General features: G+C 39.4%; 1 long non-coding RNA gene across 10 annotated transcripts in view, besides 1 other annotated feature; it reads left to right on the forward strand.

Annotated features, from left to right (window-relative positions):
- Window positions 1-727: 727 nt before the first annotated feature.
- Window positions 728-21,201, forward strand: part of LOC124900169 (uncharacterized) — a 109,752-nt gene continuing 89,278 nt past the window's right edge. For 9 of the 10 annotated variants that reach the window (XR_007058337.1, XR_007058343.1, XR_007058339.1 and 6 more), the window contains exons 1-2: window positions 1,306-1,493; window positions 10,673-10,740. This is a non-coding gene — a long non-coding RNA (uncharacterized LOC124900169). Of the gene's footprint in view, window positions 1,158-1,305; window positions 1,494-10,672; window positions 10,741-21,201 lie in introns of those variants that run through there. The other variant, XR_007058346.1, reaches the window with a different exon arrangement.
- Window positions 1,133-1,262: a silencer, noted in NCBI's record as "silent region_15768". NCBI's record gives its function as "represses an Ori minimal core promoter by ATAC-STARR-seq in GM12878 lymphoblastoid cells {active_cell/tissue: GM12878}" and the evidence as "EXISTENCE:reporter gene assay evidence [ECO:0000049][PMID:35858748]".

Below are 21,201 nucleotides of genomic sequence, written 5' to 3' on the forward strand. Positions count from 1 at the left end.
CCCTCTAGAGTACCCTGAATGATCCACCAGGCTGTCGGGGCTTAAATTCCAGCTTTATAACTTACTTCTAGCTGTGTGACCTTAGGAAATGTTCCTGCTTCTTTGTCTCAATTTCCTCAATTGTAAAAAGGGAATAATATTATTACCCATCTTATAGGGTTGTTTTGTCTAATGTGTTAATAAATGTAAACATTTAAAACATTACATAAGAGCTGATTTTACTATTATTATAAAAAAGCTCTTAAAACAGTTTCTGGTCAGCATTAAGAACTCAATAATTGTTAATGGTTAATATTAGTCATGTAACTACCCAGATAATCCATAAACTGTATTAGTCATCCTGTTAAGAAGCAAGGCCTGGTTTGTCTTCTTCCTTTTATTATACAATTTTACTGCTTCTAATTTAAACTCTTGCCTCCCTAAGTTCAATCCAGGAAGAGAGTCAGGATTAAAGGACTAGAAGGAAAGACAAGAGTGCTGATGGAAACAAAACTACTCAAATATAGGTGTTAAAGAGAGAGAAAGAGACAGAGAGGGAGACAGAGAGAGAGAGAGAGAGAGAGAGAGAGACTTTGTCAGCTAAAAATTAACTAGACTGTCAGCTCCTGCGTCTTCTGCATCCCTCTCAGAACCTGGAAAAAAATATTTGCAGTGGTCCTGATGTCCGCAGCAGGCCTTGCTCCGATGGTTTTGCAGAGTAGCAAGTGAAGATTTCCAAAAGGCGGAAGAGCGGGATAAGAGAAGAAAAAGAGATAGATAAGCTAGCACAGGAACAAGGCTCAGAGCAGGAAAGTTACCAGGACAGAACAGGGAGGGACTGACTGTCACAGGGCAGGGAGCAGGAGGAAAGAAGCCACTTTTCAGTGAAAGGTATTTGTAATTACAAGAAAGCCAGGTTCTTCAGGGCCCTGGAGAAACAGAAATACAATTCCCTGGCTTCTGGGGAGAGCACTTAGGGGCTCCTATATCCTCATCCCTTTGGATTTTCCCTTCTCAAACGCCAGAATTTGGAAAAGGGTGGGGAGGGTCTTTAAATTATTTGGCACAAACTCCGAAAAAGTGGAGAGGCTGTGAGCCAGCCACCCTCCGACTAGGTTTTGTGGTGATGGTTGCTGAAATCACTTGCGCACAGGATGACAGGAGCTGGGAACCTCAAGGTAGGTGAGCCTGCCAAGACGCGGGTCCGGGACTCGGCTGGGGCGCAGATGGAGCCCGCCCGGTAGGGGGTGTGCGGAGCCCTGTTTTCTGGGCTCCGGCCCCCAGCCCAGCCCAGCCGCCGCAGGAGCGCTCGGCCAGTAGGTGTCTCTGCTCCTCGGGCGGCCTTGAGCAGTGCCTAACGTTGAGCGTGAGGCTCGTGCTCCGGGTCTCGCGGGCGGCCGCCTCGGGCGTCGAGTCCCGGAGATTGGACAGACACCAGAGCCTGGGGACCGCGGAGTGACCGGGTGGGGCTGGAGGGCGGCGCCGCGCCTTCTGGGGAGACGCGGAGGTATCAGGTAATCCCCCGGCGGCCTGCGCCAGGCAGTCATGCCCACCCGAGCCCTGGGACCTTTTTCACCTCCTCTTTCCAGGGAGGAAAGGCGGCAAGGGAGGCGCGAGGAGTTAGTTGCAGCCCTGGAGGCAGACACTGAACTCCAAGATAATGCCACTTGGACTCTGAAAGTGGGCTCTTCTCTACCACGCGATCCAGCTTAGCTTTTACCTTTTCTCTAGAGGTAGAGAGGGCCGGGTGCCAACTCCTTGCTCAACTTCTCACTGGAAAAGTGGCTGCCTTCCTCCGTCTCCCTCCCCTGGGCTCCGGCCAGGGGAGCAAGGCCTGCTGTGGACATGAGGAACTCCCTGCCCTGTCCTGGTAACTTTCCTATTCTGCACCTTCGCTTTGCTAGCTTGTCTACCTCCTTCTTTTCGCTAGCTTATCTACCTCCTTCTCTTCTTCGCTCTTCCTCCCACTGGAAATCTTCACTTCCTAGTCCGCAAAACCGTCCAGCGGAGGTTTGCAACAGAGTCGGCTCTTGGAATCATAGCCCTCTTAGGTTGGTGGTGGTTGTGGATTAGAGGGCAGCAGTAGGGACGATTAAAAGTAGTTTTTAATACTTAAATGGTTTAGGGCTTTCCTGTGCCTTTGTTCTGCCTAAACATTAGTTTGATTTACTAAAATCCTCTCCTACCCCATTTCTGGCATTTGGTAAAGAAACCAAGTGAAGGTAATCAGGCCTCGGGTATTTATGTATGTAGAAATCATCTAGCAAAATAGAACGAATAGATCATTTCTTTTGAGGGGCCGTAAACTTTTTTGTATGTTGAAGTGTGTTTTGATACTTGGGTGTTCCCTTGTTGCTGTGGCTGCCTGTTTCATTTGATTTGAGGGCCTTTGAGCATTGTCTGTCATTGACATTCTACTACTGAAGTTTATTCCTTTTGTTTAAAGTCTTAATATTCTTTTCCAGTCCCCCTAATGAATCACGGTTACCATGAGAAGGATGACCTCATGTTATTGAAGAAAAGTCCTGGTCTGAGATTCAGGAAACAAGATTCAGATGGCTTGTGTCCAGTGTTTAGTTCTGGACCCATTTCTGGGGCTAAGTGGCTATGTGATTTTGGTTGTTCAATTTATTTAACTTCTCAGAACCTTGGTTTTCTCATTTCAGGGAATCTGGGACCAATAACCCCCATCCATTGTTATATGACTGCTAAATTCAGTCTTCAATTCTTGGCTGTCTTCTTCCTTGATTACCAGTGGCATTTAACCAAAGTGATCATTGTCTCCTTGAAATACTTTCTACTTGAAGTCTCATGAGGTCTTCCTCCTTCCTCCTTGCCCACTACTTCTCAGTCTCCTTGACTGGTTCCTCCTCAACCCTAAAAGCTAAAGTTTGATGTGTACTAGGCCTCTTCTCTGACTCCATCCTCTCTAAGTGCTCTCCATCTATGACATTTAACATCACCATCTTGGAAGAATCCCACACTTATGCCTCCAACATGGACTTGTCCTCCTCTAAAATCCATACTCAGGTATCCAGCTGCCTTCTTGACATCTTCATAGGCATCTCAAAAGTAACATGTTCAAAACAGAACTCCTGATCTTTACCCCAAATCTGATTCTTCCCAAGTCTTGTTCACCTCATTAAATGGAATCCCTATCTTTCCATGCTCGAGCCAAAATCTTTGCAGTCAAACTTGATGTCTACCATCAGCCTAGTCCACACCTGCATCTCTCTAGTTGATCTATATCAATAGCCTCTGATCTAGTCATCCTAGTTGCTCTCTTGCACTCCCAAAGTTTTTTTTCTGCACACAGCTGCAAGAGTACCTATGCAGGAGAATCATATCCCTCATTGGATGAAAACTTCCCAATGGTTTATCTCATTTAGAGATCTACAAAACTGATTTAGTTTCCTCTTCTTTTCTGGTCTTATCTATTTCTACTCTCCCTTTTGCTCACCAACACTGCAGGCACGTTGGTTTCCCAGTTATGACTACAATATGCCAAGCACATCCCTGTCTTGGGAACTTTGCACATACTTGCCCCTCGGTGTGGAACACTCTTTCCCCAGACAGTGCATGGCAAGCACTTCACTTCCTTCAGGTCTCTACTCATTCAAATATTATCATATCAAAGACGCTGTCCCCTGACCACTCTACATCCAGTAGCCACAATTCTATGGGATTCCTCTTGGTATTATTCTTTTAACTGAGACAGGGTCTTGCTTTGTCACCCAGGCTGGAGTGCAATAGCATGAACATAGTTCAAGGCAGCCTCAAACTCCTGTCTAAAGCAATCCTCCTGCCTCAGTCTCCCAAGTAGCTGGGACTACAGGTGTGTGCCACCACATTTGGCTAATGTTAAGATTTTTTTTCTTTTCTTTCCTTTTTTTTCTGGGTAGAGATTTTGTCTTGCTCTGTTGCTCAGGCTGGTCTCAACCTCCTGGGCTCAAGTGATCCTCTCACTTGGCCTCTGAAACTATTGGAATTACAGGTGTGGGAGACACTGTGCCCAGCCTTCTTGGTACTTCCTAACCCCTTACCTGGCTTTAGTTTTCTCCACAGTACTTGACAGCTGACAAATATTTTGTTGTTTCTTTTCCTACCTATACTCCAGAAAGTGAACTCCAAAGAGGGCAGAGATTGTGTCCATTTTGATCACTGCATTGTCTCCAGTGCCTAGAACAGAGATTGGTATGCAAGATTACCAATGTATCTTTACTGAATAAATTATATTCATGATATTTATACCATAGGGCTAAAGTGAAGATCACATTGTGAGGCCAGTTTGTATACTGGAAAAAACCTTGGCTTTACAATTAGTGAAACCTGGTTTCCAATCATGGTTGCACACTCACTGGTAATGTGAACTTCTCAGAAGGTCCATTTTCCACACTTGTGTGATGGGTATAATATAATATCTTGAAGGTTTATTTTAGGCATAAGGTGTAACAAAAATGCTCATAAAGGACTCAGCTATGAGGAGGCTAGAAAATGAGCAGTTTTGAGAATATATGTGTGAATCTATTTTGTAAGCTCTAAAGCCACATTTATACATATAGAGCTAATATTACTGGGGACAGTTGTGTGAATTGTACTGTGCAAAGCATTTCAGGGTGAATGGTTTCAGTGCTTGTAGCATACTGAAAATTAGAAAATGAATAATGGCTGGGATCTATACCTATATTTACACATTCTAATGGAATTGAATGTCTGACTTCCTATTATTTCTGCATAATTTTCCCAATAACCTGTAGTTCTGCTGTGCCTGAGAAGGCAATACATTATCTTATTGTATCTTATCTTATTATCTCAATCTGTCAAAAAAACATGTGCACAAATTCAGCCACTTAACATACTCACATGAAACCCAAGTAATTAGCTGGTGACAAGCTGCCAGTCAGCACTTCCTCAGCATGGTCCTGCTAGATGAGTACTGACTGGTTTATTTTAGTTCAGCACACATTGCTAGGTTTTGAGGATTCAAAGGGAAATATAGTATGTCCTTATTTTCAGGGTACTCATAGTCTCTTGCTATAGTCTAGCCTAGCTTTACAAGGGGTATACAATTCAGGCTCTTTGAGGACAGGAAGGAGGTCAGCTAGTATATAGGTCTGTAAGAGCTTTTAACTGCCACAGTTTGAAGACAGCAGGAAGGCAGACAGATGCTATGCTGATTCCCCTTTTCATCTTGAGTTTTTCCACAAAAACTTCAAGGTATAGGCCATATTCTTTAGACTATGAGTTAGATTTGAAGCCTTAGGACACAAAGAGTTGTGAGTTGAGGGTCCCTGAAATCCAGGTTCAGTTCTGTATTCTTGTTTGTTGAAGTTTAAGAATCACAGACTACAGGACTCTTAGGTAAATGCGGACAGCTTCAGAACCCAAGTCATCTTGTCTTGGTTGTGATGTACCCTTTCCCTGGTTTGCAGTCCCTTCCCCAATGACCACACGGGCTCAGAACAGGACTTAAAGAACTCAGATACATTGCTGAACTATCTGTGTCCACCTGCCCCCCAAACCCTTCTCACCTGCTGCCTCCCCAGCAGCCCCATCTCCCCAAATAAGGTTGTGCTTCTTCCAGATGTGGAGGTTAAGGAGAAAATGCTGCAAGGTCACCAGAAGATGATCCCCACATATGAGGGCTCAACCAGGGTAGAGTTGTTCTAGATCTGGACAGCAGAACAGCTTGCTTCACCGTGAGACAGTGCACTTCAAGTTAAAAGAAATTCTTCAATGAAGAAGTTGGCTGTGGCCAGTAAATGCCTTCATTTCCCTATCAAGTAAAATAGCCTTGTAAGCACTCTCAGAACAGGGACCAGGATTTATTCATCCTTGCCTGGCACAGTATTGATCAACTGTACATGGTTTTATTCTCTAGGAATATTCATTGCCTCACATTTATTCATCAGGAATTCTGATACAACTACATAATGTGAAATACGTAGACATTGTTTTGGCCTCACATTTACTTGGCAATAAATATTTCTTGAGCACTGTGCTAGATCTTGGGAGTACAAACCAGAATACGACCTATTTCCTGAACCCAGGATACTGTTCTTGGTGTATTTTTATTTCCAGATTTATACCAAAATTAACACATTTTTTACCTTTTGAAAATCCGTGGCTGGTATAAATATAAACCATAGAGAAATACTTTAAGATGATTACTTCTGTTATCTTCTCATCTGTATTTACTTTTTTAAAACTCTGATGAACACAGCACATAAGCACATTCGTTCATTGAATTCTTTAGTAACCTTCAACTCCACAGTTGGAGTGAGACAGAGTCCAGCTGAGCTCCCCAGGGCTCCATCCCTTGTAGAGAATGACTTCCTTTAGGGAGGGCATAGTGCAGCCCTTGGGAGAGGGTTGTCTAGCTAGACCTCTGCTGCTGCTGTATCCTTGAACCTTAATGGCTTGGCTTTGGACTGCTTGCCGATTCTTGTACACTGAAGGGAAGGAAGGAAGACTGACAGCCCATTTGACTGCTTTTTGAGTTTTCCACTGTGTCTTCAATTTATTCAAATGCCTTTCCTGAAGAAAGCAAATTTCATGGACCACTCCATTTGCTTCTGGACTATTGAGACACTGGCAGATATGATTTAAGAATCTGAACATGGAAACATTTAAAAATACATGACACTAATTTGCAGTGCAGTTTACATCTTCGTCTCGGATTTTACATTGTCTCTGGAACCTATAGCAGTCATTTGAATTATCCATCATTCACAAAGCCAGCTTTGTCTGATTTTTGTGGCATCCATTTGTTCTTGTCTTTCTTTTCTTCCTTTCCACAATATTCCCACGATCATTAACACAACTGCTTGTTGTGCCCTGTTTGAATTTTGCATTTGTATCCCTGTTACTAAACATCTCAATGTCAAATCCCAAAGTGAGATTTTTCTTCCTTCGCTGAAACCTTTGATGAAAAGTTACTGTTTTGTGTGCAGTTTGTAGAATTGCTTAATTGGAGATTGTCAGAGTTTCACTGGAGGGTATTGCATCTCATTTTGAAATAGTTGCTGTTGATTTTTCTGAGCTCAAGTGCTCTAAAAACAGGCGAGCTGCGTTTAAGTTATCATTATTATCCATGATAAATAATGTATAATTAATTATGGGACCATTTATCTTTCAGTATTTCCCTTCTTATATCTTAATGGTTTTCCATACGCATATTACATAATGTCTGAGTTTACTCTTTTATGATTGTAAAAGCCATCCAGCTTATAGGGTATTGCAGTTACATTATACAGAAAAAAATGTGTAAATGTATATTTCAATAATTAAAAAATACTTTTAATGCTGCATTTATTTTATGTATTTCCATAAGACTGCTATGCCAACGCCTCTGACCTAGTGGGAAATATTTCCATCTTTGGTAGATCTTTACCTAAAATCTTTATGGTAGGTTTTAGGAATTCCAACTGAATTTCAAAATAAAAGATTCTATGGTAGTTAATAAGAAATTAGAGACAAGGAATCCTGGAGTATGCCATGAGAGCTTACAAAAAGTGAGAGATATGAAATGAAGAAACTTTAAGGTGAAGAGCTGTTTTAAAATGTGCTTTCCTATTCATTCAGCCATTATTCAGCCAACATTTGCTAAGTGCTCATCAGGTACAGTCAAAGAGACTAGGGACACACACACATCAAGACAAAGCTCCTACCTTTAAAAATACTGTTTTAGAAGAAAACGCTGTCTTGTGATGGTACTTTTTCTTTAGGCTTTTATAGCTCTTTTTTTGTACTCTTGGCACTGCCTTTGCATAACATTTTTAAATAAGGAAGTAACTTGAAGAAAACCAGTTATTTTAGGATTATGGAAAACTAGGGGCTTGGTAACAGCAAATCTTTCCTTTGAGGATGCTACTGACCCCTCATGTTTACATCATTTGTCAATAAGCAGGATCAATTTTTGCCTTAATTATGAGCTTGGAATAGCAAAGACAATTGTACATTGGATAAAGGAAATATATAATTTGTTTTAAAATGAGACCTTTGCCATTGGAAGGAAATAATTCCTGGAGATCACTGGGAATTGGGAAATCTGCTACCACTGCTATATTTTCCTTACTTGTCTGTTACCATATAATAATTTACTTTTAGTCAGCATAATTAAGTATATGGATTACCACTCTAATATGCCAATGGTTGAAATGTAAAGTACAGTGACAACTCATTGAGATAGAGAGGGTTGGCAGGAAATACCCCAAATGAATAAAAATATATCTACAACTTCTATATTTGGATAATGTACTGTAAAATAATATTTTACTCATACATTTTTTCAACTTTGATTAATTCATTGTTAAATTTAAATTTTAAAAAGTAAAATATACTTTGTGTTTTTCTTCCAGTTCCTCAGCTTCTGATGTGGTTTGGCTTTGTGTCCCCAACCAAATGGCATCTTGAATTATAATCCCCACGTGTGTCCAGGAAGGGACCTGGTGGGAGGTGATTGGATCACCTGGGTGATTTCTCCCATACTGTTCTCTTGATAGTGAGGGAGTTCTCACGAGATCTGGTTGTTTGATAGGTGTCTGGTGTTTCCCCCTTCTCTCCTTCTGTCTCTCTCCTCCCACCATGTAAGACATGTCTTGCTTCCTCTTTGCCTTCCACCATGATTGTAAGTTTCTTGAGGCCTCTCCAGCCATGTGGAACTGGGAGTCAGTTAAACCTCCTTTGGTTATAAATTACCCAATCTCACATAGCATCTTTACAGCAGTGTGAAAACGGCTAAGACAGCTACTGTATGGAAAGAAGCTAGATTCTTTTCTTTTCTTTTTTTGAGACAGAATCTTGCTCTGTCACTCAAGCTGGAGTGCACTGGTGCTATCTCAGCTCACTGCAGCCTCTGCCTCCCAGGTGATCCTCCCACCTCAGCCACCTGAGTAGCTGGGACTACAAGTGCACTACCACACCTGGCATATATATATATATATATATATATATATATATATATATATATATATATATATATATATATTTTTTTTTTTTTTTTTTTTTTTTTTTTTTTTTATAGAGACAGATTCTTCCTATATTTCCCCAGGCTGGTTTCTAACTCCTGGGCTCAAGAAATCTGCCTGCCTTGGCCAGCCTATTTGATTTTTTATTATCTCTCAGAGATAAACTATGTTCCTGCTAACTGCTACAAAAGTAAAATCGCCTATAAGTTAACTATTGTAGTCACCTTAATAGCCCCCTAGCCTTACCTCTAAGGCTAGACCTTGAAGACAATAACTTAAAGGCTAATTATACAATGAGGTGTTTATGTAAGTGATTTATTGTAAAACTTTAAAAATGTTAGGTGCTATTGTTGTTAGAAAAAAGGTAAGTAGTTTGGTTATTTACCATCTTTATGTCAGAATATCTTAAGGAAATATAGCTAATTATAGAACTTTTGTTCACAGAGATGGATACGGTAGCCTTATTTATAACACACACACACAAAAGGAAAGACCTAAATGCTTAACAATAAGGAAATGGTTAAATAAATGAGGAGAGAGTCAGGCAATAAAATCTTACATAGCCATTAAAATTTTATTTATGGAAAACCTTATTACCATGGAGAACTGCTTATGCTGTCATATATTGTACCTGATAAATGTCTTAGTCTTAATTTTGAAATATTTCAGTTGCTACAGATGGATTAAATTTTCTTATTTTAATATTTAAGGCCTAGAGATTGGCCTGAGGCATGGAATATCCCAGCAGAAATTCCATTTAGACAAGAGAACCATTCAAATTATTTAGCTTGTTAGAGAATATGTAAGTATTATTATAGCTATAGCATCAACTTTGTGATTTTTAGTTTATGTAAGAAGCTGCTTTGATTTGGTGAAATTAATTTAAAAAGTCCTCATCATAACATACCTAGATTAATTATCTAGTCTGTGCTTTAAAGGGCAGTTTGTTCACAAAGGAGGTACTTTTGAATAGCTACATCACCTACAGTAACTCTTACTCCAATCTACCCTTTTGGTTTTCTGTATCTGTTTCTATAATCTATTAACTAAATATTAAATCACTGGTTTCTCTAAGGAATAGTGTAGACTTTTGGTAATGAATGTTCAGGGCATGTAAAATGTTGGTAACTTTAGGTTTTAGTGAAACTTTGGAGTTAAAACTGCGGCTAGTTGGGTGCAGTGGCTCATGCCTGTAATCTCAGCACTTTTGGAAGCTGAGGTGGGAGGATCACTTGAACCCAGGAGTTCAAGAGCAGTCTGGGCAACATAGTGAGACCCTGTCTCTACAAAACAATTTTTTAAAAAATGAGGTGGGAGGATCGCTTGAGCCTGGGAGGTTGGGGCTGCAATGAGCTGTGCTTGTGCCACTGCACTCCCTCCTGGGTGACACAGCGAGACCCTGCCTCAGAAACAAGTGAACAAAAAAGCTGCTAATAGATCACAAAAGAGAAGTGGTTACTTTGTTTAGTTCCTTTAAAGCCCAATTTTTTCACTTTGGTGGTAATGAAAGTTTAGTGCATCTTGAACATAATACCAGATCTTTCCATCAATTGATTATATTTCAAATTCACATAGGATTAGTTCATATCAAACAACATAAATATTACAATTTCTTAATGTTCATTATGGCCTTGGAAACATTAAAAGGTTGACTAGTCTGCATTATTGCCTTTGATAGCCAAATATATTTTATAGTGAATAATACATTTCTTTTTATATTTTAGGACCTGGGCTATGCTCCTGATTTTATACAGACTGCCATGGCTCCAGATATAAAAGACCAAATAAAAAGGTAATTTGAAAACTATTTTTCATATGGATTATCTTAATTTTTTGTATTCAGTAGAATGTCAGATTTTAAGATAGAATCTCACACACACACACACACACACACACACACACACTTAGTAAAACTGTTTGACTTACATAGTCACAAAAAGTAAATAACTTGATGAACCTTTAAAAGGCCTTTAATAGACACATGCACACATATGTTTATTGCAGCACTGTTTACAATGGCAAAGTCATGGAACCAACCCAAATGCCCATCAATAATAGACTGGATAAAGAAAACGTGGTATGTATATACCATGGAATACTATGCAGCCATAAAAAAGAATGAGTTCATGTCCTTTGTGGGGACATGGATGAAGCTCGAAGGCATCATCCTCAGCAAACTAACACAGGAACAGAAAACCAAACACTGCATGTTCTCGCTCATAGGTGGGAGTTGAACAATGAGAACACATGGACACGGAGGGGAACAACACACACCAGGGCCTGTTGTGGGGTAGGGGAAAAGGAGAGGGAACTTAGAGGTCGTGTCAATAGGTGCAGCAAACCACCATGGCACAGGTATACCTATGTGACAAACCTGCATGTTCTGCACATGGATCCTGGAGCTTAAAGTAAAATTTTTTTTTAAAAAAGGGCTTTATTGGCCAGGTGCGGTGGCTCACGCCTGTAATCCCAGCACTTTGGGAGGCTGAGGCGGGCGGATCATGAGGTCAGGAGATCGAGACCATCCTGGCTACCACGATGAAACCCCGTCTCTACTAAAAATACAAAAAAAAAAAAAAAAAAATTAGCTGGGCATGGTGGCGGGGGCCTCTAGTCCCAGCTACTTGGGAGGCTGAGGCAGGAGAATGGCGGGAACCCGGGAGGCGGAGCTTGCAGTGAGCCAAGATCGCGCCACTGCACTCCAGCCTGGGTGACACAGCGAGACTCCGTCTCAAAAAAAAGGGCTTTGTTAGTTGCCTTGTGGTTCTGAGGAAAGAAGGCGGTTGCCATTATGTGAAAGAATTTTTAGAAATACAAAGCCACTTTTAATGCCCCAGCATTTTGGGGGATGATTTCCAGTTGGAGAAAGTTAGAACTGAACTGTTTGCTCTCTGGCACTCTGGATATCCTGTGACTCAGGACGAATCATTTTATGATGACTCCCGGGAGTTAGTGTGAAACTTGAGGCTATGAAACCAATCAAAGCAGCTTCCCAAACTAGAACCAAATCCAGGACTCTGGCCTCATTATCACAGTGGTTTGATTTATTGAGCTAATGAAGAAAGTCTTTTGTAATTGAGTACTGAATATCATATGGTGTTACTGAATATCTCCTTTTGAAGTACTGAAAATGTACTTCTGCTTAAGAAGGATCAATTCCTTAGAACGTGCTGTTGTTTTAGATCTACATGAGGAGCTTTGAATAATTAACAGTCTGGATGTTGTTGCTATGTACGACTTAGTTTTATTAATGACACATTTCAGAATGCACCATAGAGTTGGAAGGGCTGTCTTTAAAATACCGTTATCATCCAGGAGGGGGAGGTATATCTTCTTTTAAGAAGTCAATTGCCCAGAAAAAAGAATAAAACTAGTTATACTATCTTGCAAAAAAAGAAAGCAAAGCTTCATTTGAAAAAGTAAATTTTGTCAAATTTGCAAAACTTCTTATAAAATCACCAGAATTGTTGCTAAATTTTCTATTTGTATACTATCTTTCACTTTTTTTTTTCTATTTGTATACTATCTTCACTGAGATGTGAGGAAACCCTCACATGTCAGTTAATCCACATTTATACTGCTCTTGCTATGTATGTATGTGCCAAATATAGAGCTGGACATCACAGGGCACAAGCAGTGTTCAAGTCACCAGTGCCTCATAGATGAGAGGGTGGAAATAGGAACAGGTTAGGGGGAGGAAATTATATTCAATAAAGGTACCTGTTGAAACTATTATTGGGAAGTATTTCTGTAAACAGGGTGAGAATGGTGTCAACCTAAATTGAGCAACAGGGATTAATTCTCAAGCTTATTAGGGAATAGCAAGGAACTGCAATCAACATAATACATAATACATGCCTGCTATGGAGGACCATAAGGGTATCCGAGGGAGTTGGGAAAAAAAGGAAGCTTTTAAAGGCAAAAAGATATCCATGTACCTGTTTTGAAATAAAGACCACTGGCTACAGGTCTTTTTACATGCAGTGGCATTTGCTCATTGGTGGTACTGGCTGTTGGTAGGAGAGAGTTTTCATAGAAGTGGCTTAACTGGAAATTTCCAGTTGAGGAAGTCATTTCTGGCAGTTCCTGGTGCAGGCACACATGTGTGAGGGCCCTTCCTTCATGGCCTCCCACTGCATTTTGTTAGGGTTTGACATAAGTGACTCCGTTTTGGGTACTGACAATTTTCACAGGAGTTCTATTCAATAGAAGTAACAGTAAGAAGGTTGAGAATGGATATAAAGGAGAGTAGGATTGAGCTTTAGGGAACCCCTGGAGAGAGGAGAAATGGTAGCAGCTAAGGAGATAACAAATGGGAGAGGATACCAGGTGCGGTGGCTCGTGCCTGTAATCCCAACACTTTGCGGGTTGGAGGCAGGCTGATTGCTTGAGCCTAGGAGTTCAAGACTAGCCTGGGCAACATAGCAAGACACCTTCTCTACCAAAAATGCAAAACTTAGCTGGAACCATGGTGCATGCCTATAGTCCCAGCTGCTAGAGAGGCTGAGGCGGGAGGATCGCTTGAGTCCAGGAGTTTGAGGCTTCATTGAGCTAGGATTGCATCACTGCACTCCAGCCTGGGTAACAGAGCAAGACTTTGTCTCTTAAAAACACACACACACATGAGGGGAGGGAGGTGAACCCTGGAAGAAGTGGGAAGAATCTGGATGATCACAGGAACCCTGGAAGGAGGGAGTTTTAAGAAAGTAGTGGTGCTGGGGGAGGAGGCTAGGAGGATAGAGTGAGTTCACATGGACCTGAATAGGTTTAGGAGAATGCACACAGAGAAAAAGATTTTGTATTTGATTAGAAAGAGTACTAGTGGGTATAAATTCTAATTATAGACACTTAGTAACCATTCTTTGGCCAGTTGATAGAAGTGGTTTAGTAGAACATTTAAGTCCATATAGAGCTTGATGCAGCAGATGACAGCAGACAAGGAGCAGGAAAAGCAGGGTTTCCATCTTGCCTCTGTCACTAACAAGCTGCATGACCCTGGTTGAATCACTCGTCTCTCCTCTCCTTAATTGCTTCATCTATAAATGAAGTTTCTTAAATTGATGTCCAAGGATGAGCTTCAGAGATTCTGAGATGTCTGAAATTATAAGCTAAAAAAAAAGGGGGTTTTCCCTCTAGGGAGAAGGTCTATAGTTTTGATCAGATCCCCCAAAGTGATAATGCATCCTAAAAAGTTAAGGACTACTGGATTAGGTGATCATTAAAGTCCTGCTTAGTATACAATATCAGGAATTTTTAATCTCTGACTTTCGTTTCTCTATTGTATTCCATATGGCCTGTCTCCCAAATCACTCTCAGAGACCACTCTAAGGATTAGATTTTCTGAAATGTAATTGACTGTATCAGTCATCCCCAGGGGATTATTTAGAAAATCCAGGCAATTTTTAAAATTAAAGTTAATCATTTCTTTAGTAGTCCACAGACATTTTCATTAGGACACAACCTTTATATCACTATTTATATCATTTACTAGCCATGCATCTAATGATCATAAACACCAGAAGTGGCTGTAGCCACTTAAACACATGTGGATGTCATTGCCTTTAGTGTTTTCCCTCCAAAAGGAAAAAAAATTGGGAAGAAAAAGCAGTTTATTGAATGTAAACTGGTGACTGAGCTCCCATCAGAGTGATTGCTTTGGTGGTTCTCTTCTGGCAGGCATGTAAGCTCTTAGCAGTAGAGGGGTACTGAGCCCCCAAGTATGCTGCTGCCCTTCATAAGATGGCCAGGAAGGCCGGTGTGGATTTGAATACAACAGTTATCACTGTAGATAATGTCATGGGGGATGTTATTGACATTTATATTATATGCTTCTAAGCAAGAAGCCATCCTGCCATGTAATATACAATTATGATCATTTAATTTGGTGTAATTAATAGATAAATCTTAGGATTGAGCTCTAGAAATCCCTTTCAGGTCTCTTGTTACTTTATAAAATCTGGTGTGTCAGCTGCCTTTACTGGTTAATGATTTATGTCTATAAACCACCTATGTGGATGGTATTCAAGATGTATTGTTTCACTGAAAGCAATGTTTAAAATAACTCTGGACATTTCTAATTCACACAGAAGGTTAAGCTGAAATTGTGCTTCTTATAAATCATAAAGTTATTTAGCACAATCTGTTATCCACCTTTCTCATCTTACCATCATTTGGTTCTAACTGATGGATTTTGCTGCAAGTGATACATTCTACGTGTCACAACAGAAAGGGAAATGAAGTTAATAAATACTTTTATTAACACTTCAGTTTGAAAAGCTAAATGTTGAAGGCAAGTGTCATACTTTTCCTTGGAGCTGTTTCTTTAGCACCGTCTTTAGCTCCCAGTGAAATGCAAGAGGTGGAAAATCCCACCTGTGAAATCCAAACACAGTTCTTGCTGGTCATGGATATTTGCAATATTGGTATGAGCTGTCAGGTGCACAAAACACTAATTTGTTTGCACGTAGACACAAGAGTTCTGCTAGTTATTTATCTTTCTAAAGCCATTGTCCTCCCTGACAGGGGCCTGCTAAATGTGCTGTCTATGCAGAAGGTTTAGATTTATGATTTGTGAAAATTGTTCTGGAGATAACATTGTAGAGTTGTTCTGTTGCTGTATAGATAGTGTATTTTGAGTTTATCTTTCTCTTTCTTCGAAAAAGAGGTTCTTGTTTTTACACTACCGACGTAGTAACTGGATGAGTGATTTCACTGCCATAACTGCTTGTTGGTTTATTTTAAATATGGTGTTTGCTAGCATGTGGCAGACTTCTGCTTTAATGATCACAATGTGATGACAAAAATGCTAAATCTTATCCAATGGAATTACAACATGGACCCGTTTTTGCCTTATGGAAAGGAAAATACCCCTCAGAGATTTTAATTTGCTCATAAAAAGCAAATGTGGAAACAGAAACACCTTGAACAGAGAGGAGAAGTAGGAACCTGCCTGGGAATGTAGAATTTAATAGCCGAAATTCTATTTCCTGTTGTGATAGTAACTGAAGACAACATAAAATATACTTGTCAAAATAATAACACTCTTTAAAATTCCACATTGGTGATTTAAAGATGGAGAAGTTTCAGCTTTAATTTTTGGTAGGGAACTTGCTTTTTGACTTTGATTGCTGTGGACAGGCAATCCACAGCAATCAGTCAATGTGGAGTAGCAGAAAATGTCCTCGGCAGCTATAATGGCTTGATAAGGTGATATGCAGTTTTTATGAATGGCTGTACCCAAGCAGCATCAGCTGATGCTATGGTGGCTTAGAAATTTTCACAGGCTTTTACCTGTTTTCCATAACTCTAGCCATGCACCCTCCTTTTTGAGGTGATACAGAGATCACCCTTTATAAAAAGGCCCTCTCTAGTGCTTTGGCACTTAGCCTGGGAAAACATGCCTGCTTCAGGAATCCCTGGACACATGCCTCATGATTATAAGAGAGAAGATTACAAACCTCATGTCTTTTCAGGAAATATATTGATAGTTTATTCTTAACTTTGGCTTGTTAGGGAGCATCATTCTTTACTAGACATAGACTACTGGTACCTTCCAAATATGGTAAATCACTTTGCAAGAACAAGAAGAGGTTATATCTATGTGTTTATAACAACCCTATGAAACAGATAACTGTCATTGTCCTACTTTAAAGATGGAGCAATTTCCATCCTTTTGTAGAGAGCTAAAAAAAAAAGAAAAGAAAGATGAAGAAACTTGGGGATAGAAAAGTCAGGTGGGTTGCCTAGGGTCCAGAGCCTACACTTTAAACCACCAGGCTTCACTTTTCATTGTGTTTCTAAGGCCCTAACAACATGCTTATTGTTACTAGAGAATTGATGAATGTTATGAAAGTGAGGTAGGAGACTGGCAGGACTTGTTTTCTGGTCACAATCCTGCTGACCAAAACAGGATCTGATCCAGACAGGATAAAGTGAAAAACTAGCAGAAGCCAGAAGATGGCAACAAAAGCCATCCCTAGCTGCCCTCATTGCTTATTGGCATAAGATACTCCCACCAGTGTCATGACAGTGACTGGAAAGTGACCACTCATTTCTATGGCAATGACTCAGAAGTTACCGCCCCTTTCTAGAAAGTTCTAATTTACCCATTCCTCAATTTATATTGACCCACTCCTTAATTTGCATGTAATTGACATTGGATTTACATGAATATAAATACAGCTGACAAGAGCCCGTACATTGCTGACTCTGGGCACACTGTCTATGTGTTAGCCCTGCTCTGCAACTGTTCAATAAAAGATTGCTGTCTAACACCACCGGCTTGCCCTTGAATTCTTTCCTGGGCGAAGCCCCAGTGTTGGGGCTTCCCTCTCCTGCATGAAAAGGAAACGTTCAGGGAGCTTAGAAAATTTATAACTGGGGGTCCTAACATGTTCTGAAGGGGATGAGGATGGTCTTTCAGCAGAAGTGATGTTGAAATTGAGATCTTTAGGGTGAATATAATTTGCTCTGGAAAAAAATAAAAGGTTTCAAGTAGAAAAGACTACACTGCACATTTTCAGCCCTGGAGGGATATGCTGGAGGGATGCAGGAACTGAGAAGTCCAGAATGGTGACATGCAGAGAAAGGAGGGTGATGTGCCTGGAGAGACAGGTGGGAGCAAGAGGGGAGAGGACTTTGAAGGTCATGGTTCTGATTTTGTACTTTACTTTGAACACAAATAAAAAACAACTAAAGAAAAGTAAAAGCAGATAAGTTATATGATCAGATGTGAGCTCTAAATATATCGTTCTGGCTACAAGGTGGTTTAGAGACAAGAGATGGAAATAAGGAGCTTACTGATGAAAGGCAATTGAGAGCTAGTGGCTTGGGCATGAGAAAGAACTGTGAGTAGTGTATTGATTGAAGAAATTTTTAGGAGGTAGAACTGGCAAGATTTCATAATAGAGGGAATATAAAAGGTTAGAGAAAAGTAGGTCTCAGTCTTGTACACCATGCCAGTCTCATTACATTTAATAAAGTAGTATTAAAGAGACATAAACCCATACACACTTTAAAATCTCTAACAGTTAGGAAATGACTAAGCAAACTCTTTGCTCTATTGAGTAATATGTCATCATTAATTATTGTGTTTATAACAGTTGTAAGACATACAAAAGGCATATTATTTAATTTCAGGTAAATAATGAGTGCATGATGATAAAAGTATACCAGTAGTCTGATTTAATATATGCTGAAAACATAAAGATGTCAAAATCCTACGCATAGGGAAGAATCAGGAAAGAATTTACAAAAGATGGTATGAGTAATTTATACCGGCTGCTATGAGTAATTTCTTCTTCTCTCCTTATTTATTTATTTATTTATTTATTTTTATTTTTGAGACAGAGTCTCATTCTGTCACCCAGGCTGGAGTGCAGTGGCATGATCTTGGCTCACTGCAACTTCCACCTCCTGGGTTCAAGAGATTCTCCTGCCCCTGCCTCCCAAGTAGCTGGGATTACAGGCATGTGCCACCACACCCAGCTAATTTTGTGTACTTTTAGCAGAGAAACCGTTTCACCATGTTGGCCAGGCTGGTCTCAAACTTCTGACTCAGATGATCCACCTGCCTCGGCCACCCAAGGTGCTGGGATTACAAGTGTGACCCACTGCGCCTGGCCTTCTCTCCTTTTTAAAATTTTCACATTTTCTTTATGACAAAGTACTACTTTTATAACAAGAAACTATTTTTACAATAAAATAGTATGGAAAAGAGCAGCTACTTTAAAGAAAATTCATTTGTCATTTGCCCTTTGTTATTTGTATACATCTGAATTTTTATTTGCAGCATGTTTAAAATGAGACAAACCTGCATACATTTTTTTAAGTAAAGAGTTTCATTATTCATTTCTTGCTTATGTTAAAATGTCTAACAATAAGGAAAAAGTTAAGCAAACTGTTTGGTCTATTAAGTAATATGTTATCATTAATTATTATGTTTATAACAATTATAAGACATAGGAAAATGACTTCTGCTGTGGTGAGAATTAACTGACTTTAGAACGTTTGGAATGGTTTCTGTGTTGAACACCATTAAGCACCACATATAATCCTGAAGTGAATCCATGGAGGGCTGCCGCAAATGTTGTTTGTGAACCATACCATTTATACGAGCATGTGTGGAAGCCCTAAGAGATAGAGGAGTCTGGTAACCCAGGTCTACCAGGGTTTAGACCCATGCATGTAACCAGTGCACACTCAATGTTGTATCTCTATGGCCCTTCTGTACCAAAAGCTGCATGCAGACAGGAGCTGTCTGTTGTTCACTGCTGTATCCTCACGGCCTGAGCACATGCTAAGCTCTCAAGAAACTTTGTTGAACAAGTGAATATATTTGTTTATCAGTGTATACAATGATTTTCTTAGGTTGGTTCTGGAAATCAAATTAATGTGTTAAAGGTTATGGACATTTAACATTTCTGAGGTCCTTATAATGTATTACCAAATTACTTTGCAGAAGGCTTGTACCAATTTATACTTACTCACTAGAAGTATTATTTTGTTTGTTTAACCATTCCTTTACCAGCACTAGATATCTTTATTTTCTTAAGATTTTAAGTGTTTTTGATAAAAACAGGTAAGGCTTGTTTTCTCAATTTCTGAGTTTTAATCTAATTTTCATGGTTTGTTTTATTTTATAAAACAAAAAGTTCATTTAAAAATTTGGTTAATAAAGAAAAAATAAATGCAATAATGATCCAACTACACATAGCTACAGTCAATATTTTGGTATGTATCTTTTCAGCCATCTATATTTAGACTTATTTACATATATTTCATATATAATCCATTATTATATATGTATAATAAAAAGTCAGACTCCGTTTTTGATGTTTGACTGCTGGCAGCTTTCAAGCCCCACCACGCCCCCTTCCCCTGCTCCCCTACATTTGGGCAAGCAAGTAAAAAAGACCTGTTGCTTCTTCCTCTGGCTCCAATGAGAAGGACACAACACACAAACCTTGGCCAACATGTGGGAGCCTTCACCCCAGCTTTATCTCTTCATTGCAATAAAGTCTAAGCTGATCTTCTCTTCTACTCTCTCAAATCATTTGTGAATCTGTTTGGGAGCCTTTCTCGCTCTCCCCAGAAAGCCTCATTATGCGAGTAGTAAATGTCTGCATATCCTCTTGGTGTGTATGTAGCATTATCATCAGTCTCTATATGTGACTCCAATTCAGGTGTTTAGGGGTGAAGGGAGTCTATCATGTCTTCTTGTGGAGACCACAACAATACAGATTATAAAAATGGAGTTTAACATATATATTTCAAACAAGAATGAGATTATACTATACATATTTTGTAATAATCTGATTTTTATTTAATAATGTATTTTCAAAAATATCATTAAATAATTTTCACAATACCATATTTAATGACAGTATATTATACCGGTATATGGTACAAATGATCTAACTGACTTATTATTGGATACATATGTTGGTTCCATTTTTTTTTTGGCTATTTTAAATAAGCTACAGTGAATAAACATCCAGCTATACTTTTGTGTCTATTCTTGATGATTTCTGTAAGATAGCTTTGCATTTAAGTATTAATGCATCATAAGCACATTCACTAAACATTTACAGAGTACGTGAAATGCACAACTTTTGGGACTCCTAAACATAAAAGACATCAAATTTTCTTGCAGAGAAGTCCCTATATAATAAGGGATCCAGAAAAATATTTACAAATTAAAAAACTGAATTTTTGGTTAATTTATCAGGTGTGAAGTTTTTCAGGGTGGCACTAGTACATTTCTATTTATTTGTGACATGTTAATGAGCAGTTTCTTCTCTGATCTATTTTTAGTGAGTTATAACTGGAAAAGTAGGTTTCATTTGACATTTAAAAAATTAGATTACATTAAAATATAACCACAAGGCAGGGTTTTTATAATGCTCAAGTATTACATATGTTTTTATAACCACAGAGCCTGACAAGTGATTTGCTTCTTTGAAAACTGAACTCACATTACTGAACATAGTGTGTATGTATGTGTGCAAATTTATAGACATATGAGGATGAAATAACTAATTTACAGAGTTAGGTTTACTTTCTGACCTAGTGTCTAACTGAAATTTCAGGTTCATATGTTTGTTTTGTTAAAAGATGGGGGAGAGGGAGGGACCAAGATGGCTGACCAGAAGCAGCTGCAGCTGGAGACTCCCACCAAGGAGAAAGAAAAAGGTGAGTGAATCCTGCACTGGCAACTGAGGTATCCAGGTTCTCTCACTGGGACTGACTAGGT

This window comes from Homo sapiens, chromosome 4 (genome assembly GCF_000001405.40).
Source record: "Homo sapiens chromosome 4, GRCh38.p14 Primary Assembly".
Lineage (NCBI taxonomy): Eukaryota > Metazoa > Chordata > Mammalia > Primates > Hominidae > Homo > Homo sapiens.